Source organism: Homo sapiens, chromosome 1 (assembly GCF_000001405.40).
Source record: "Homo sapiens chromosome 1, GRCh38.p14 Primary Assembly".
NCBI lineage: Eukaryota > Metazoa > Chordata > Mammalia > Primates > Hominidae > Homo > Homo sapiens.
The window spans coordinates 107,685,059-107,705,631 of record NC_000001.11 but is presented as its reverse complement, the minus strand read 5'-3'; the positions used below and the strand labels follow the sequence as shown (position 1 = coordinate 107,705,631).

General features: G+C 38.6%; 1 protein-coding gene across 14 annotated transcripts in view; it reads left to right on the top strand.

Moving 5' to 3' along the window:
- The window catches only part of VAV3 (vav guanine nucleotide exchange factor 3), a 394,020-nt gene that overhangs the window by 259,549 nt on the left and 113,898 nt on the right, over positions 1-20,573 (top strand). For 12 of the 14 annotated variants that reach the window (XR_007063680.1, NM_006113.5, XM_024450319.2 and 9 more), the window contains 3 exons: positions 571-672; positions 982-1,082; positions 17,226-17,251. Coding sequence is in view for 13 of the 14 variants with exons in the window: in NM_006113.5 (NP_006104.4) it covers positions 571-672; positions 982-1,082; positions 17,226-17,251 (229 nt within the window). In the remaining variant the exon portion in view is untranslated. Of the gene's footprint in view, positions 1-570; positions 673-981; positions 1,083-17,132; positions 17,252-20,573 lie in introns of those variants that run through there. The other 2 variants (XM_017000053.2, NM_001079874.2) reach the window with 2 other exon arrangements.

Below are 20,573 nucleotides of genomic sequence, written 5' to 3'. Positions count from 1 at the left end.
ATAAATGGTAAAATTATTTTGTTTCATTATTACTTAGATTGTGAGTAAAGTGAAATGTTAAGAATTTTTTAATGTTCACACTAATGCTTTATTTTAAAACTTTCTATAAAATTACTGTATTCCTTGTTATGGACCATTATGTTGTCCACACATCTATTTAGAGATGACCCTCTTCTCCCTCCTACCCTCACCTGCTAGTTTATATTTCAGTGGCGTGGCTACAGACAAGGAACTATCAGATAAGATGAGTATCCAGTGGGTTTTTTTTTTTTTTTTTCCAGGCAGGTTGACCTATGTGGCCATTTGTTAAAGTTCTCTGAGAATGCTCAATTCTGAGGAGGATTAGGTTGCTATGTCCTTCCAGGTTGCTTGTTCCCACACAGCCAGATTCTGGTACATATTTGAATGCATAGCATACTTTTGGCTTAGAAAACATTGCACATTTAGTAGTCATTTTGCTTGAATCAGATCTCTACCTGATGTCATTTTGATGAATTTAGGGTTTAGATGACTAAATTGCAGCTTTGTTGTGAAACTTTCTATAGAAAGTTATTTTTTTCCTTTTTTTAGGTCTAACATAAGACCAGACTATGCAGACTCCAATTTCCACGACTTCAAGATGCATACCTTCACTCGAGTCACATCCTGCAAAGTCTGCCAGATGCTCCTGAGGTAAGCCTGCTCAGTCCTGGTTTTCAGTTTAAAGGAACTGATATAATTGCTAAGTGTTTCAGACTTTTCTAACCTTCTAGCCAATAGGTTCTAAAGTGGGGAATTTGCCTTAGCAGTCTGGATCCCACAAACCTTTGCCAGGCTTTCTGCCTGGACAGTCCTTTCAGAAGCTCTGGCAAGCTCGTCTCCCTCTACCAAGGGGGTACCTTGAAGAGCACTGTTGATACTTTTTTTCTTCTTCTTGCAGTAATTTCATATGGGCAGAATTTTGCACCGTTTAATATACCACTTTCTTATTTCACCTTTCAGGGGAACATTTTATCAAGGCTATTTATGTTTTAAGTGTGGAGCGAGAGCACACAAAGAATGTTTGGGAAGAGTAGACAATTGTGGCAGAGTTAATTCTGGTGGTAAGTCATGTTTATTGTTGCAATTCTGTTTTTAATGAGGACATAAAATTTGCTAAACATAATTAAGGCCTAATTTACTCTGAATATGTGTTTATTGTAACATATCTGCTTTTGAAACTATTATTTATAAGCACAATTAGAAAAATGCTTAAAATTTACGTGAGTTTTCTGCATAACTTTGTTTTAAATTATTTAAAATTTGTGTGACTTTTATACATATCTTGGAGACAGAGGTCTTCAAGAGGGAGTTGGATGGTTTCATGTCACTCATTTCTTTAAAAGCCCTAAATAAATGACTAAAACCATACAAACATAGCCGAAAAAATAGAGTAACAAAAACAACAGAAAGAATATATTCTTCTATCTTTAGTTCTTAAATTTCCTTTTTATTCTTTTAAATATTTAGCTCAGGAATGCTAATGGCTCCAGAAGTAAACATCACACAGACTAATTCATGAATTAATGAATTGAATACATTGTCATTTTGCAGCACTTAAAAAAGAGCATATATCTTTTGGGTTTTATGTAAATATTTTCCCCTTGGTTTTTAAAAATAATGCTGCATGATTGTTACATGAGCTAGTTTCTAAGATGGCTGGCAGTTATGCATTCAGTAGCCTATTGCCTCTTTCTGCTCCTCTTGGGCTCTCTTCCTTGTCTTTATTTTCTGGCTTCTTTATTCTTCCCTTTCTTCTTTTTTCTCTTTGTCCTTTTCCCCCGAGTTTCTCTGTGTTTTTATCAATAAGACCTTTCAAAATCAGTAAAACTTTTGAACACAAGAAAGGATCTTTAACAGCTTGAGTTCAAAAGGTAGCCATGTCAACCTTTGATTTTCCCAAAGGAAAAGGTGGACATTGAATTATTTTGGATAATGTGAAAAAGAGTGAAACAGAGAATAGCTCATTTCGGAGCTGAGTTCAGAAAATAGGCAATTGTAGAAAAGGTGAATCCTATTAGACGACTGAGATCATAGCACATTCCTCTCAGACATTTTAAAAGGACCCTCTGTGCCATTCTCTGTGCTAGGCATGAGCAGCTATAAAGTGACAGATCTTGGCATGAGTTGAGCACCTACACTGTGCCTGTCCTGCCTGGGTGCTCTACTGGGCATCTTCTTGCATGAGCTCATTCCGTCTTCAGAATGGCCCTGCACATTTACTGATGGGGGTCGGATTGCTTATGCAGTTTACTCAAGGGCTGTTAAATAAACTTACCTCTTACTTCTGTCGGAAAGTCAGAAACAGTTTACAGAGTTGTAAAATATAATAGAAATAAAAATTATTGTTGTTATTCTTTAATTGCCACCCCAATAGAATTTATCACTTGAATTTTTGTTGTTCCATCTTTATATGCCCCATTCTTTAATCTCTTTGGAGACAGTTAACATTTTATTTGCTCATAGTAGGCTAATGTTTATATAAATTCCAAGGCCCTGTCTTGATGAGATGATATCTGTGAAGAATGTAAAATGATCCCATAGTTGGCATGGTTCTAAAGGAAATAGTGTAGGAGAATAGTTTAGAGTCAAGCAGAGATGGTTGAAATGCTAGCTTTGCGCCATTTGTTAGCTATGTGAGCTTGGGGAATTTACTTAAATATTCTGAGCTTTTGTTTATTCATTTTGTAAATTAGACGATTATTATGAGGATACAGTGAGATAATGTTGATTCTTACCACAGTACCTGAGCAAAGTGAGAACTTACTATTTTAATCTAAGGTGATATAGTGAAAAATCAGGTTTTTTTTTTTTTTTTGAAAGACGTGGGCTTATTTAGTATTTTTATTGTTTTCATGATCTGGAGTACACGTGGATGGGAACGTTAAGGAGCACCAAACTTTAAAATAATACGCAAGTATGGCATTAAAAGGACATAAAATTTTTTAACTTTTACGTTATAAAAGTCAATAGGAAATCATTGAAAATTCCTAGTCTAGTCAAATAGAAGAGTCATATATTCTCAGTGTCTGTTCCTAGGTAATTATTTCAATGTACTCTGTCCTTACATAAGTCATTTTGTCTATGGCAGTAAAATCTACAAGCTCTGGAGTCTTGGTCTGTTTGAATCCTAGCTTCACAATTTACTCCTTGGGTGATTTTGAACTCCATTTACTTACCCTTTGTAAGTATTGGTTTCTTCCCTTATGCTATGGTTTGGCCCTGTGTGCCCACCCAAATCTCATCCTGAATTGTAATCCCCACGTGTCAAGGGAGGGGCCAGGCAGGAGGGGATTGGATCATGGGATTTCCTCCACGCTGTTCTCATGATAGTGAGTGAGTTCTCATGAGAACTGATGGTTTCATAAGGCAGTATTTCTTGCTCTTGCTCTCTGTCTCACTTGTCACCATGTAAGATGTACCTGCTTCACCTTCTGCCATGATTGTAAGTTTCCTGAGGCCTCCCCAGCCATGTGGAACTGTGAGCAAATTAAACCTCTTTTCTGTATAAATTCCCCAGTCTCAGGTATTACATTATAGCAGTGGGAGGACGGACTAATACAGTAAATTGGTACCCAGAGTGGGGGGCACTGCTATAAAGATACTTGAAAATGTGGAAGCGACTTTGGAACTGGGTAATGGATAGAGGTTGGAACAGTTTGGAGGGCTCAGAAGAAGACAGGAAGATGTGGGAAAGTTTGGAACTTCCTAGAGACTTGTTGAATGGTTTTGACCAAAGTGCTGATAATGGTGTGGACAATGAAGTTCGGGCTGAGGTGGTCCCAAATGGAGATGAGGAACTTGTTGGGAATTGGAGTAAAGGTCACTCTTGCTGTGTTTTAGTAAAGAGACTGGTGGCATTGTGCCCCACCCTAGAGATCTGTGGAACTTTGAACTTGAGAGAGATGATTTGAAATTGGAACTTATGTTTAAAAGAGAAGTGGAGCATAAAAGGTTGGAGAATTTGCAGCCTGATGATGCGATAGAAAAGAAAAACCCATTTTCTGGGGAGAATTTCAAGCTTGCTGCAGAAGTTTGCATAAGTAATGAGGAGCTAAATGTTAATTGCCAAGACAATGGGGAAAATGTCTCCAGGGCATGTCAGAGGTCTTCATGGCAGCCCCTTCCATCATGGTCCTAGAGTCCTAGGAGAGAAATGGTTTTGTGGACTGGATCAAGGGCCCCACTGCTGTGTGCAGCTTAAGGATTTGGTGCCCTGTGTTCCCAGCTGCTCCAGCCATGGCGAAAAGGGGCCAACGTACAGCTCAGGCTGTTGCTTCAGAGGGTGCAAGCCCCAGGCCTTTGCTTCAGAGGGTGCAAGCCCCAGGCCTTTGCAGCTTCCATGTGGTGTTGGACCTGTGGATGCACAAAAGTCAAGAGTTGAAGTTTAGGTATCCGTCTAACAAAGATCTAATAACCAGAGTCTACAAGGCACTTAAACAAATTTACAAGAAAGAAACAAACAACCCCATTAAAAAGCAGGCAAAGGACATGAACAGACACTTCTCAAAAGAAGACATTTATGCAGCTAACACATATATGAAAAAAAAAGCTCAACATGACTGATCATTAGAGAAATGCAAATCAAAACCACAATAAGATACCATCTCACGCTATTCAGAATGGCAATTATTAAAAAGTCAAGAAACAATAGATGCTGCTGAGGCAGTGGAGAAATAGGAATGCTTTTATACTGTTGGTGGGAATGTAAATTAGTTCATCCATTGTGGAAGACAGTGTGGCAATCCCTCAAAGACCTAGAACCAGAAATACCAACTGACTCAGCAATCCCATTACTAGGCATATACCCAGAGGAATAGAAATCATTCTACTATAAAGATACATGCATGCGTATGTTCACTGCAGCACTATTCACAATGGCAAAAGCACGGAATCAGCCCAAATGCCCATCAGTGATAGACTGGATAAAGAAAATGTGGTACATATATCATAGAATACCATGCCGACATAAAGAGGAATGAGATCATGTCCTTTACAGGGACATGGACGGAGCTGGAAGCCATTATCCTCAGCAAACTAATGCAGGAACAGAAAACCAAACACCACATGTTCTCACTCATAAGTGGGAGCTGAACAATGAGAACACATGGACACAGGGAGGGGAACAACACACACTGGGGTCTGTAAGCAGGGTGGGGGAAAGGAGAGCATCAGGAAAAATAGCTAATGCATGCTGCACTTAATTCTTAGGTGATGCGTTGATAGGTGCAGCAAACCACCATGGCACGCGTTTACCTATGTAACAAACCTGCACATCCTGCACATGTACCCTGGAACTTAAAATAAAATGAAATAAATAAAATAAAACTTTAAAAAATGCTTATTGCTCATGGCCACTTGTCTTCAGGCCATAAGGAAGTTGAAAGTTGACTGCATAGACCATGAAACAATGTTCAATCACTTTGGCTTTTGTAAGCTTACCTTTTTAAGAATACTTACTGACAAAATTTGATTTAAAAATAAGGATTCTTATCTCTAGAGTCTTCCTAGCTGTTTAACTCAGCTTTGGCATGCTGCCTTGCCAACAACTCACTTGCACTTATAATTTAATTGTAGTGACATAGACAGCAGATTTTCAAAGAACTGAAGGTGGATTTTCAAATTCCTCAGCCTCATAACCTTTGGTGTGTGATCATCCTGGCCCACCTTCACCAAGAATCCTATCAAGTCAGTTTAGCCGGAATCGCCCTTATATGTGATGTTTCCTCTCACTAATTTTCCATCCATTGACCTCACCCTCCTCCTTGGCTATAAATCTCCACTTGTCCATGCTGTATTTGAAATTGAACCTGGATTTCTTTCTCCTTTGCAATTGTTCCTGAATAAAATCTGTTATCACAACTTAAAAAAAAAAAGAGAGAGAAAGAATCGAGCTTTGGGAAGCTCTGCTTAGATTTCAGAGGATATATGGAAATGTCTGGATGCCCAGGCAGCGGTCTGCTGCAGGGTCAGGGCCCTCATGGAGAACCTCTGCTAGGGCAGTACAGAAGGGAAATGTGGGGTTGGAGCTCCCACACAGAGTCCCCACTGCCACTGCCTAGTGGAGCTGTGAGAAGAGGGCCACGGTCCTCCAGATTCCACAATGGTAGGTCCACCCACAGTTTGCACTGTGCCTGGAAAACCCGCAGACACTCATTGCCAGCCTGTGAGAGCAGCCAGGAGGGGGGCTGTACCCTGCAACGCCATAGGGGCAGAGCTGCCCAAGACCCTGGGTGCCTACCTCTTGCATCGGTGTGACCTGGATATGAGACATGGAGTCAGAAGTAACTGCCCTGCTGGATTTCAGACTTGCATGGGGCCTGTAGGCCCTTTGTTTTGATCAATTTCTCCCATTTGGAACAGGTGTATTTACACAATGCCTGTACCCCTATTGTATCTTGGGAGGAACTAACTTATTTTTTATTTTACTGGCTCATAGTTGGAAGGGACTTGCCTTGTCTCAGATGAAACTTTGAACTGTGGACTTTTGAGTTAATGCTGAAATTAGTTAAGACTTTGGGGGACTGTTGGGTAGGCATGATTGTGTTTTGAATATGAGGATGTGAGTTTTGGGAGGGGCCAGGAGCAGAATGATATGGTTTGGCTCTGTGTCCGCACCCAAATCTCATCTCGAATTGTAATCCCCATAATCCCCACATATCAAGGGAGGGAGGTGATTGGATCATGGGGGCATTTTCCCCATGCTGTTCTCATGATAGTGAATAAGTTCTCAGGAGATCTGATGGTTTTATAAGGCAGTTTTCCCTGCTCTGGCTTGCTCTCTTGCCTGCCTCCATGTAAGAATTGCCTCTTTTGCCTTCTGCCATGATTGTAAGTTTCCTGAGGCCTCCCCATCCATGTTAAACTGGGAGTCAATTAAACCTCTTTTCTTTATGAATAACCCAGTCTCAGGTATTTCTTCCTGGCAGTGTGAGAATGGACTAACACCTTGTAAAACAGGGCCAATAATAACACTTAGATTTTAAAATCTTTTTAAGCAAATACCCCTATTTAGTGCCAGGTACTGTTCTCAGTACAGCTGCTCCTCCATTAATGATGGGGTTATGTCCTCATTAAGCCATTGTAAGTGGAAACTATCGTAAGTCAAAACTGCATTCAATGCACCTAACCTATTGTACATTATAGCTTTGCTTATCATACTTTAAACATGCTCACAGTACTTGAAATACAGTTGGGCAAAAATCATCTGGCAACACAGTACACTGTATTGTTTGCTTCCCCTTGTGATTTCGTGGCTGACTGGTAGCTGTGGCTAGCTGCTGCTGCCCAGCATCATGAGTGAGTCTCATTGGGCATGTTGCTCGCCCGGGAAAATATCAAAATTCAAATATTAAAGTCTAGTTTCTACGGAATGCATGTGACTTTCATACCGTTGTAAAGTGGAAAAATCATAAATGAACCATCCAAAATTGGGGACCATTTGTACTTTACCATTGTTAACTCATTTACTCCTATATAAATTCTGTGAAGTTGGTATTATTGACATCTTACAGATGAGAAACCAAGGCACAGAGAAATATGCAATCTGTCTAAGTTTCTTGTTCAATACAACCAAGATTCAAATCCAGGCAGGCCAGCCCCTAAGTTTGTTCTTACCACTGGGCTCTGCTACCAGTTACATGAATGATCTGTGATGATGATATGTCAGATGTGTCAAAAGCCCAGTACTGAATCCTAGTAAGTAATCATGTGCTTGCCTTTCTCAGTGAAAGGGAGTGATTTTCTAATGGTTTTTTAGGCAGAACACTTTAATTAAATTAGTAACTACCCAGTGTTTTTAGGTTTGAATGTTCTGTAGTGCTGCGAGAAGACATGCATCCCTGGGGACCATACCTACCTTCTTCCCATGGAAACTCTCAAGACCGGATGGACTTAAGACACATTCAGTTCTAGGGCCTCTTATTTTAAGATGAAGAAACAAGGTCATAAATATATGAAAATAAGATAACTAAGAATAATACTGTTAGTGCCCTGCAGATTGTAGATAATGCTTACTAAGATATCCTCAATTAAAAAGTAGCATCATTCTCTAAACTTTGGTATGTAATTCATTACAAAGCAGGAAAATGTTTTTTTAAAACCTCTGGCTAAATTTGCTTTTTGGAGTTTGTAACATACTCTCTTGCTCTTTTGATTCTTTTCCCTGTTTTGCATATTTCCATTGACCTCCATTCCCCTTCTGTTTTATACGTTGGTGCCCTTTCTCTCCCTCTCTCCTTCTTTTAAGTTCTTTCCTGCTCAAGATTTTGAGAGACCGGTAACACCGAATGCTCATAGTTCATTAGCGGTATGAAATGGTAAGGACCTGCCTAGGAGGCTTCCTTTTTTTACTCTCAGATCGGGGTTTGCTGGGTAGCCCTTATAAGGGGCAATGTCTTTAGGGGGAAGAAGAATCTCTGTATCATTCCATCAGTAGCCTGTACCTTCTGAAAGCTGGAAGCCATGGCATCTTCTCCTCACCCTCATTCCTTCTCACCCTGGTATAGGTGGTAACTGTGGGTAGAGTGTGAGTTTGAGCTTGGTAGGTCTGATGTGAGTGTGGTAAAGTAGGTACTATTTTGAAGTCTTGGGCAAGCTAGACTTTATGAGCTGCTTCTCAGCTTCTCAAGCTCAACATTGACTTAAGTCTTGTGTGATCCTTTGGGCATCCAGGAATAATTGCTTGCTGCAGTTCAGTAATATAGTTTTTCATGACTGGCCTAGGATTTGGAGGAAATGCTGGTGTAGGGGAGGGCAGGAAAAGGGATAAGATATATCCAGGGGATGGAGACTTAGTTTACTTGAATAGGGCTTTTGCATGGAGAAGAGTGTGATATGATTTCAGCAGAACTTGACTTTGAGGGAAATCATTTCAACAGCCAAATTGAAAGCAAGGGAGTACTACTGACTTAAGACAAACTCAAATGTTTACATAGATCAGACCCCCCCTTAATATTAAATCATAGGTGGTTTGAAATTCACCCATACTTTACAGAGCTTTATAGCAATAATGTTTAACATAGTCTAACTATACTCTCAAGCAACAAAAAGAGATCCTGATTGGATCAGTGTGGATCAGGAGTCCACTTGTGATCCAGAAAGCTATGACTAGTAGGAGTTGTTATAAACATTGCATAGTTGGCGTGAAAGGCAATTCCAAAAAGGGGAGTAGGCAGAGGTTGGTTAATGGATACAGAAGTACACCCAGATGGGAAGAATAAATTATAATGTCCTATAGCACTATAGGCTGACTATAATTAACAATAATTTATTGTATATTTTCAAATAGCTGGAAGAGCAGATTTTGAATATTCCCAACACAAAGAAATGATAAATGTTTGAGGTGATAGATATGCTAATTATCTTGATTTGGTTGTAACACTTTGTATACATATATTGAAATATCACACTGTACCCCATAAATATGTGTAATACTGTTGGTTCCCTGCAGATTGTAGATAATGCTTGCTTATACAGATATCATTGATTAAAAAGTAGCATCATTCTCTAAACTTTGTTGTGTACTTGATTACAAAGCAGGACAAAACATTTTAAAACCTCTGGCTTTGAATGTGTCAATTAAAGATAATAAAATAAAAAATTTAAGAGGGGGAGCATGCTATCTTTATTCAACATCAGACTTGTTTATAGAAAGGGATAGTCAAATGGAGAAGAGGTACTAGTTGTACAAAATGACAGGGTAACCCAGGGGCTCAATGAGAGGTAGATAATCTTTTACTCTACCTTTTAATGGACAGATCCATGGCACATCACATTTAGGCCTTACCTTACTTGACCTTTCTCTTTCATTTAACACTGCTAATCATCCTCCTTGATGCTATCCTTCACAACCCATCATGCGCCCATGCCATCTTCTGGAAATCTGATTGACTTTCCTGGTTTAGCTACAACCCACACCCCAGGTAGATAAAGGTCCATCTGTGCATGAAACTTCTCTCCTGAAGTATGAATTTTAAATTACCATCTTCTCCTTACATATCCCCTCCCATGCGTCTTGCATTGACCTCAAATGTCTCATGACTAAAATCAACCTCATTAGTCATTACCGCAAACTTCCCTCTCCTATGCTTTGTCTTAGTTAAAGGCCCACCATCCAAACACTCACATAGACCTGGGTGTCAACGTCTTCCACATCTTGATTCACTTTCCTGTTCTTCTTAGCTCTCCTCCTAAGTCTCTCTAGGATGCATTGATAATGGTGTTGATATACACAGAAAATCTCATTGTCTCTTGCTTGAACAACTCAAAAGTTTCCTAATTCCCTGCTCTTAATCTTATTCTTACATAATTTATAAAATTATCTTCCGTCTGATGGTTTCATTCTTTCACATACTGTACTTTACATTTCTTACAGAATAATGTCCAAACTTTCCAATATGGCCTACAAAGCTCTAAGTAATTTGTACAGCTCATTTTTTACCACTTCCTCCTATCCCCCAACCTATAACACGACTCTCTTTAACTACTCACAGTTCTCCAACCAGTTTTTTTATGTCTGTGTATCTACATGTATTTTGTTTTTCTATTTTACTGTCTTTCCTTCCCTTTTCTGTTTAGTAAACTTAATGTTCATTTTCAAAAAGTCAATGCAGATGTTGCCCCCACTTTGAAAACCTTTTCTGACACTCCTAATGCCTGGGCTTTATTAGTCTGTCAGTCCTCTGTGCTCCCCTGACATCATATGTTTACTTTTATCACATTTATTATAATTGACTCTATGTTCATCTCCTCAATTAGACTGCAGCCCTCTCAATGATAGGAACCATACCTAATTGGTGTTTTGACCTCAAGGAAGTAGTGAGGAATGGAGTGAGTGAATGGATCAACAAATGGACAGACAAATGAGTACCACTGTAGTGTAGCAGGGCTTCTGGGCCCTGAAGATCACTATAATCTTAGAATCAGAAACAGGAGAGTGCAGGGGATTGTACAGTTTTGGTTCCACCTTCGTAGAGACTAGAGCTTGACTAGATTGTGGAAAAGTGGAATAAAAACCTTACCTGAGTCCCTGGCTGGTACTTTATGAATGAAAGGTAGAAAATTAGGTAGACCTTTTAGATTCCTTTCTAGTATTTTTGCAAGGAAAGGCTCATGGCCTAAGCATCGATTGTTAGGCCTTTGAGAGGAGACACCTGGGTTAGATTAATAAGTAGCAAGAAAATGAAGCAATTCACAGAATGCTTGATGACAAAAATGCCTCCCTTTCTGAAAAAATCTACTGCCTGATCCAGTCGATCCAATTGTTAGAGTTCTCACTTGGCTCTTACTATTTCCTCTGCCTGAAACATGCTCCCTTTTCTCCGAACAGTTCCAAGGACCACCCTTTCATTGCTTTCTGTCCAAACTCTTTGCCAATCATTAACCGTACCTTGACCATCCAATGGTAGCCTGAATTAAATTGTTCTCTAATTATTTCTATGTAGGCTTTATGCATTTGCCAAGGTTAGGCTGTTCTGTGGTAACTAACAAACCCCCAGGTCCCATTGGCTTTAAGATATAAAAGTTTATTTCTCACACATGCACTGTTTACTGTGAGTTCAGTGGCCCTTCAGAGTAGCTCCCTTCTAATCAGGGAACCCAGATCAGTTTGATCTTGTGACTTTGCCAGCTTGACACATGGGTTCTAGGGTTGCTGACTTACAGACCCATAGCCTGGAAGTAAGCAGTGCCATTTTTCATCAAGTCCATTGGCTGAAACTAGTCACATGGCTTCAACCTAACTGCAAGGGAAGCTGGGCAATGTAATGAAACACATGGACTATTTGGTGTCTGTCTCTACCCCTGTTAGATTATATGCTCCTTTGCTGTTCGGAATATGTTTCTCATCTTTTGTGTCCACCCCTTAGTACCAAGTTCAGAGGAGTGGCACTTAATATCATGTTGTTGTTGCTTTTTCCCATAATAGGACTATTTCAACCAGAATATAATTTTTAATGATGTTATAGGATGTGGCTAAATATTATTAAGCATTTGAAGTATCTCTTAACACTTCTTTTTGTTCAAGTTAGCCCTTTTTGGATGTTGTCTTCCTTGGGTTGGAAAACCTTCTATATTTCATGCTCTATATCCCTTATATTAATCTAGTCTTCATTCACCCTGGAAATGATAATTACTTGACAAAAATGCAGTGCATTTCTGAATGAAGCACCTCATTTGTATTAATATGTGATTATGACAGATTATTAACTCAAGTGCATTTGAAGTATGAAAAAAAGATGTGTTAAGTTTATTTTGTTAATAAGACAAACTATGCAACTTGGAAACAAATTTGAATGTTGGATGATTAGTTTATGTCTTAACATTTGAGGATGTGCATGGATATAAAGGGCAGGCAGTTCCACTCTCCTTTTCCCTGAACTTGAGTTGACTTCTTCACATTCACTATGGCAACCTCAATGATCAACACATACAGGAGCTCTGAAGTGCATGCCAAAACTTTCCAACGTTAATAATGAATAGGTATGAACTCCACTATGCAAGCTTCTCTGAACGAGTCACTGCAAAGCTAATGTAATTTTAGGGTGTCGTTTCCTTCTCACAGTACACCACCGCGAAGGTCTAATCCCAGACAGCAATCTTTATGGACATTTGCTTTTCCCCCCACTACACTACATGACTAAGCCCCTTTGGTCTCCACTTCTTACTCTGACATTGACCAGTATAGCTTGCTTTGCATCCTCTCAGTTTAAACAAAGTAACATTGGAAGGGAAATACTGTTGGAGCAAACGACTTTGGTATAATGCATCTTTTCCTTTAGTGAGAATGCAAGCCTCAGCTGCCCTAATATTTAACTGAAGCAGATCCCCATTTGCTTATCTGTTTAATTGCACTTTTATCTAGGCCAGCTGCTGCTCCTGCTGCTGCTATAGCCACTCCTAATTGGAAGGACGTTGCTGTGGTATCCTAGTGGTTTAAAACTGAGAGACTGCTACCTAGAACCTGCACCCACATTGGTATCTGAACCGGGCTCCTTTATAAATCATATTTTACATTTTAACATAAAAGATAAGCTTTCAGGATACAATTTTATTTCAGCCTTCTACTGCTAGGCATTTTATCACAGTACTTTTACGTGAGCTGAAGATTGACCATTGATTTCATAACCAAAAATGACTTTAGTTCTGCATAATATTACTTAAAACTCATAAAGACAATTTTATACTTGAGTAGTTATTATTCCTTCCATCTATTTGGGTCAGTTTAATGGTACATTAATAATTATTAATGTGAATTGGAATCTATTATATGGTTGTATTCCTATTAGAGCCCCTGAAAAGACTTGAAATCAAAGCCTCTTTCTAAGTATTATTTATAGTTTATGGTTTGCTTTATTTTCTTTTTAAAACATTGCTGTATATCTGAGTAGTGAACATAGCATTTGTGAAAGTGAACTTTCTCCAAAATTTGATCAGTCCAAGCATTTTTTAGTTGTAATGTCTCACAGAAATAGCACTTTAGTCACGATGATAGGGTACCTTCAAAAACTGTACTGGTAATTACTTTTCTGTGGCCCCTGTTGAGATAGGCAGTCTTACTGGACATTGATGTGTTTAGTCTGAATAGAACTTCAGATAAGAGACAAAGCAAATTGTGCAATAATGTATGAATTGAGAGCCACTTGTATTGAAAAACAAAATAGGACAGAATTTTATATTTAAACAAGTAAAAATTATTTAAATTTTCACTTGAAATTTAAAGCTTCCATGAAAATTGTTTCTCTTGCACCAATAATGCACATTGAACTCTGTGCTGGCATTAAAGATGGAGTTCTGCAAAGGCTCCAAGCACCTCAGCAACACCACTTCTCAGAATTATATTAAGCCAGTTGGGACATGATGAAAGAATGCAAGGTATAAACCCCTTGAGGGCCCATGAGTCACCATCTAGAAAGGTTCTTGAAAGGGGAAGAATGTTTTATAGTTTGATCAATAGGAATCTGAGAAGTAGGCTGCAGGGTAAATATAAGTTGAGGATTAAAAACTTTTGGAAACTTGAAGAATTGAATTACAATCCTAAGAAAGTTCCCAGGAGAAAAAGAGAGATACAGAAAGAGAGACTTTTTCATCCCATCTCAACCAGCAGCCAACCTTTCTTCTAGGTCAGAGTACAGCCAAAATAGATTTGATGATAATCAGCCCTAATTATCTCAGCTCTATTGCAGAACTAAGGCATGAACAGAGTTTTCTAGAGATCCAAGTGCCCACCATAGTAGTTTCAGGTGGATACCAAAAGGAAGTAAAAATGGGGTTGCAGGCTTCAAAACTTAGAGCAACTTTTCCATAGAATACTCCATACAAAAAGGTTTCTTATTCCATTTTTTCAGCCAGAATGAAACTTTACTTTGAAAAATATATGTATTTTCAGTGTTGCAGTTGGGTTTTCCTTTCTCTCCTTACCATTATTTTAGTGTCAGTGAACAGGCTATTGCATTAGTGTGGGTATGACAGTTTAGATTGTGTTTATAAAGGAGGCAGTCTGTTTAATGGTATAGTCACTGTCACAAGCACAAAAGCATAAATACAGGAGCCTGGCTAAGAATTTCTGAACTCAGCAGATTCTAAGAGTTACTGATACTCCTTTGGGTTTTGCCTTATTCTTAGAAAATTTACAGAATCCTACCATGAAACATGATTAAATAAAAACAGACTTCTAGGAGCTGCTATTTATGTGGCACACTCAGCATGATCAGATCAGAGTGCAAACAGCTCTATGCCGTATCCATGAATGCAGCAGGCCTCTCCTTGGCAGAGGGTGAATGTGGTGGCCATGAGGACAGGAAGGGATAGCAAGGAGAAAGGCAAAGGGGAAGCCCTACTAAAGGACTCATGCCCTTGGAGTTGCATCCAGCACAAAGCCCCTTTTCAATTTTTCCTATCTGGGTTACACAGAGAAGGCTTTGTGTAGAGCATTTCTTAAAGCACCCAATCAGAAATGTGAGGAAAGTTGCTTCTCTTGATGAGACACCAGAGGAAGGAAGCAGGAGACAATGACAAGGGAGGAAATAAAGGAGGGATAGCTAAGTAAGGTAGACAGCTAAGTCTAGTTTGTTCCCAGTGTTGTACCAGTCTCATCAGTGCCGTGTCTGGGTCTCACAGCCTCTGGTGTTCTATGATGGATCCTCTCTTCTGCCAAGAGCTGGCCACCTGGCAGCCAAACCCTGCACAAGATATGAAGAGCCTGTAAATGCAGGACTTCTGTTCCTGGATCTGCTCCTCTGATGAAGAGGTGCAAGTGTCTCCGTAGCTACTTGACCACCGTAAATACCATTGTTTCCTCTTCCTGGGGGTCACCCAGAGAACCCTCATGGAACATGGTGTGACAACTACTGACACATGGGGTTATCATAGGTTTTATGCCATGAATAATACATTTAAAGTATGTTGTAAAAGACTTACTTTGCAAGGACCTAAAAACACTTCTATGGGAAGAATCAGAAAAAAATAATTATTTTTGAATTGAAATTCAGGTGCACACTCATTTATGAACACTGAACCCAAAAGAGCTGAGGTTTCCCCAATTTTGGAGCTCGTGTAGAAAGCTTTCCTCAATCTCCTTGGATGGAAAACTTAAACTGCTCCCACTGTTTAGCACTTCCTGCAGTTTATGACTCTCAGTTCAGGCTCTAACTCACCAGTAGGGGAATAGGGATATTCTGGTGTATATGGGTCTTTCTGGGCAAACCAGTGAAGCAAGTCTCACAGCTGTTCTGTCAAGAACCCAAATTCCCCTAACCTGGGTTCTAAGACTGGGCCAGCCAAATGGCACTTTTATAGAACCTCTTCCCAAACCAGCGCTCTTGGGCGATCTTTCTTCTGAAACGTTATGTGTTTCCAATAGGGAGGAAAAGAAGAAATGAAGTAACTTTTTGTCCAGGAATACTCCTTTGTAAAGGTTGATTTCAGGGCTAGCAAAGATGCCTTCATAGAAGGCAGTTATTTGTGAAAGCCAAGGTGATGGGGTTTGAAATTGACAAAGGGATGAGGACTTAGCTTTTCTTCTGAAGGTGACTTTCTGCCCATGGATCTTCCATTTCCATTAATCAGAAGTATTCGTTAAAAAAAGAAAAAAAAGAAAAAAAAAAGCTAGAGAGAAAAGAAAAAACAAACCAACCTCCTGTTCCATGCCCCAGGCAATCTTCTTGTGTAAAGCAATCTGTGGCAGCTAGTCAGGTGGCCTGGCAGGAGTTTTCCCCTTCAACTCTGGCTGGGAGCTTCTTAGAATCTCTTAAAGAAACATCCTGCAGAGCTCCCACTTAGGCCTGCTCTTTCTGTCCTGATGTCTCTCTGTGGCATCTTTTCAGATGCTTCTTTAGAGGATCATTTTGGATGGGGAAGGTATAGGCCTGGGCTTATGATGATGAGGGATTTCCTGTCTGTCTGGAGAAGTTAGAACATGTATAAGTGCTCCTGGGTATGGGGAAAGGAGGCAAAGATGCTGCCCACCAGTTTTCCAAGTGCCGTGTGCGCCCTTATCCCCAGAACGATCCTTTGCTCTTCTACTATAGTACGCATTTGAAGATCTCAGGGCCCTTATAACCATTAGGCATTTGCAGGGCCTGAAATGTAATGAAGGAATTGTTCTTCCTATTTCTGGAGGTAAACTAAATATGAAAAGAAAATTAGCATTAAAATCAATCCTGACTCAGTTTTTTTTTAAGTTCCATCTTTAACTCAAACTGTATTTCTGCCAAAATTAAAAATAAAAGTTATAGCCACTTAACAAAAAACAATTCACACGAAATGTTGTACTATGTATAATTTGCTATTGTTACAAATCGTCAATGCAGTACCTTTGTTAGCTTAGTGTTTTTAGATTCTTAAAACGAGGCATGTTGAAAGAAAGGTTGCATTTAGCTTTCTCTTATGCCTATAAATTTAGTGTAAGCCCCTGTTTTAAGGAGCTTTATGTGGTAGGACTGACATTGCTTAATAAACAATGGAAAAAGTTAAGCATAACCTAGAAGTCATTTAAAACTGTGAGTCACTTTCCTGACAAGCCAATAGGGTAAGAGAACCAAGGTTGCAAAATAATTACTAGCCCAGCCTGAGGGACCGTGGAAATATATTACAGGTATCAGTTAAGAAAACAAAGCAGTGGTGTTTTACCACTCTGCAGAGAAAGCTAAGGTTGCTAACCAAACAAAATAACTTTACACTGACAATGCCAATTTTTACATTTCTTTCAGAACAAGGGACACTCAAACTACCAGAGGTAAGATTAACATTTTAAATATTTTTTATAACCTTTGCATTTCAAGTTGTTTGCTAACTTAACCAGGCTTGGGCTTTTACACTGTTAAATGTGCCTTTTAAAATAAATAGAAATAAACAGAAACAGAGGGAACAACCAAGTGATTGTGAACAAAATGCAAAAGTTAAATCCAAGGAATGTTCACTGTCACTGTCCGAAGGTCTTAGGTAGAGAAAAAATGTGAATATTTAATCAAAGACTGTGTATGAAATGGGACTGTAAGTACAGAGGGAAGGGTGGCCCTTATCGCCAGAAGTTGGTAGATGCGTCCCCGTCATGAAATGTTGTGTCACTGCCCGACATTTGCCGAATTACTGAAATTCCGTAGAATTAGTGCAAATTCTAACGTTGTTCATCTAAGATTATGGTTCCATGTTTCTAGTACTTTTCCATTAGAGCAGAAAGATGATGATTATCACATCCTATTGATCAAATGAAGATCTAGTAACATTTCCTTTTGGTTTAACATAGAGTCTCCTAATGGCTTAGAAGTATGTAATCCATGTTACCTCTCAGAATAAAGTTACTTTAAAAATCCAAAAAAAAGTTATTTAAAAAAATACAGAAGATGATGGGATATGTAGGAAGTAAACAGCAAGTTGCCCATCATTAAATACTTTCCTGTTGAAAATACTGTCAATGGTGTTGTTTGATGTTGTTTATATAGAGTTCCCCAAAATTATAAAATTTCAGACAGAAAAGATTTTAATGGTTCCCAGACAATCATTGCCTTGACCTTCAACCAAAAATAACAGATTTCTTACCTGACTGCCCCTCCCCACAAATGGCCATAGCAAAACATTTTTAGAAATCATAGAAAAATAAAATACAAACTATGTGTGATTAGTTATATGAACCAAAAGTACAGTAATCTGAAAATTTCAAAGTAACGATGAAAATTATGATTTGTAAATTAATATCTAACAATTAAAACCTCTCTTTAAAAGTGATATTAGTATGTTTTTAATCCAACATCTAGTAAAAATAAGAAAAAGTACAGCAAAATATAAGAGGTGCTTGTCTCTACTTTTTGCATAAGTACATAATTTGAACATATAGGATATCAAGAGTGTGATATAAAGAGGCTCATATGCACCTAATCAGTGCATCTGTTGATTATATTTTAAAACCTAAAGTCTAGACCAAAGAATGCATAACAAGGTGATTTTTTTAATAGGCCATATGAGTTTCTTTAGAGCTAAAATAAATTAACCAAAGAGTTCCTTTAGTGTTTCATTGACAGGTAAGATTTTTCACTAGGGCTATCAGGATTCTTCCAGCAGTGCCAAGGATCTTGCAAAGCAGCCTTCTTTCACTTTCTCATTGCTATTATTATATTATTGAGAAAGAAACCTTGTAGAGTTCTGAACTTTACCTCAGTGTTACTTAACACTTATCCTTTTAGATATATATATTATTTTTTCCAAGGAAGATGGTTTCATTTTAATTAAGTAATGTGAAGTGGGTGTGCTTACAGAAAGAAAATATGCCAATAAGAAGTGGGTAATAATTTTCATGTGATACTAAATAATTCTCACAGGCACTTTTATACTTTTTAAATTACATGTAAGCCTATGATACAAGGAATTAATTTTCACATTGATTTTTAAAAATATATAACATCAGTTTTTTAGTGACTTGTTTCACTCTTCAATATAAGTATAATTTTTATTTACTGTGTGACTGTACTAAAAATCTCTGTTTTGTGTGGATGGAGGATTATAGTAAGCTCTGAGGCTAGTCAATCCATTTGGAAACTTGAGTTTGTTTTAAGGGAGAAATACAGCAAACTAATATTAAGAAGCAGCTCTCACCCTATACCAGGTGTGTTCACTCTCCAAGGCAGATGATTGTATGCTGCTCAGGAATCTTCTCATAAGTAAATAGTGAAACACTTTTGTAATTTGTAAGCTCTGTGATTTTTATTTTTTCTCCTCTCTTGAAGACCTTCTTTCTCTCCATGTACCAGTTTATAGGCCTCCTCTGCTTCCCTTTCAATAGTTATGATTGTGAATTTTTTTTAAATTTTGCACTTTATTTGCGAGGTAGGTCAGTTTTCACTAGCCACAGAATCCGTGGGGCGTCCATAACCATACCTGGGCTGTACATCTCACATCCCATTCTGGAGTGGACCTTCGGAAAGTTCCTCTGGCTCCAAGAAGCAAGTTTATCATTGCATACATATTTAGCTACTTTAAATCCCTTTTTTTTTAGAGGGAAAGAAAGATAAGGCAATGGTAATGAGGCAAGAAATAACTGCCAAGTGCTTATAGAATTGAGTTTGGTTCCTGCCCCCCCTCCCCCCCCACCCCCCCAACCAGCCCACCATTGTTAGGTAGATCAAAGGAGACTGAGAAGGTCCTGGAGACTGATTCTCATGGTGGTGTGAAGCTGTAACTGAGAGCTCCAGGGGTGGCTACTAGATGTGTCCTCTCCTCCTTTCCGTTCTCTTCCTGCTGGGGACAAGGGCCTGTCCAGCTCCGTCCTAGACTTTTGAGAATATAGATTGGGGAGGGGAGTATACGCATAGAGATGACAGAATGACAAATGAAATTTGCACTTTAAAATTGTTCAAAATATGATCTGCTGAACATCTCCAGGTTTTTCAATATAAAATACTTTTTAGGTTCTTTTAAAGTATAAAAAAATCTTAGCCTCTCCAAATGCAGTTGGTTTAGGGGCGTGAAAATTCCTCCGATGTTATTTTTTAAATACACCAGTTCATAGTTTATTCCACTGCACACCCTTCCTGTAGAAAGGTTTCTGTTTTCAGAGTGACTGACTTTCAGTGGATTTTCAGGAGGAAGAACCTAAAGTATAAGTAGTAAGGCACCAAAAGAGTAGAAGAATTACTTTGTGTGAATTTAAACATTTAAAATAACAAAAAGCTAATAATCTATCACTTAATAATCCTTACCATGTGGCTGTAACTGTTCCAAGCATTTAAGGTAAATTAACTCATTTAATTCTCACTGCAAAACCTATGAAGTCAGTGCTAGTATTATCTCCATTTTATAGAGGAACAAACAGGCACAGAGATATAAATTTAACTGTTTGTGTTCAAACTGAATTTGAACTTAGGGAGTATTATTCTAGAATCCATTCTCTTAATACTTGCAATGTGTAGCCTATTTTAATTCTAAATTCAAGGTGTAAGAACACAGAGTTGCTCTTGAAGTCAGGGTCCCCTTTTCACATTTTAAGTTTATAGTTCCTACATGGGACTAATTTAGGCATTCTAGGAATCAAACCAAAGAGTTAAATTCATTTTTTTTTGCCTTCC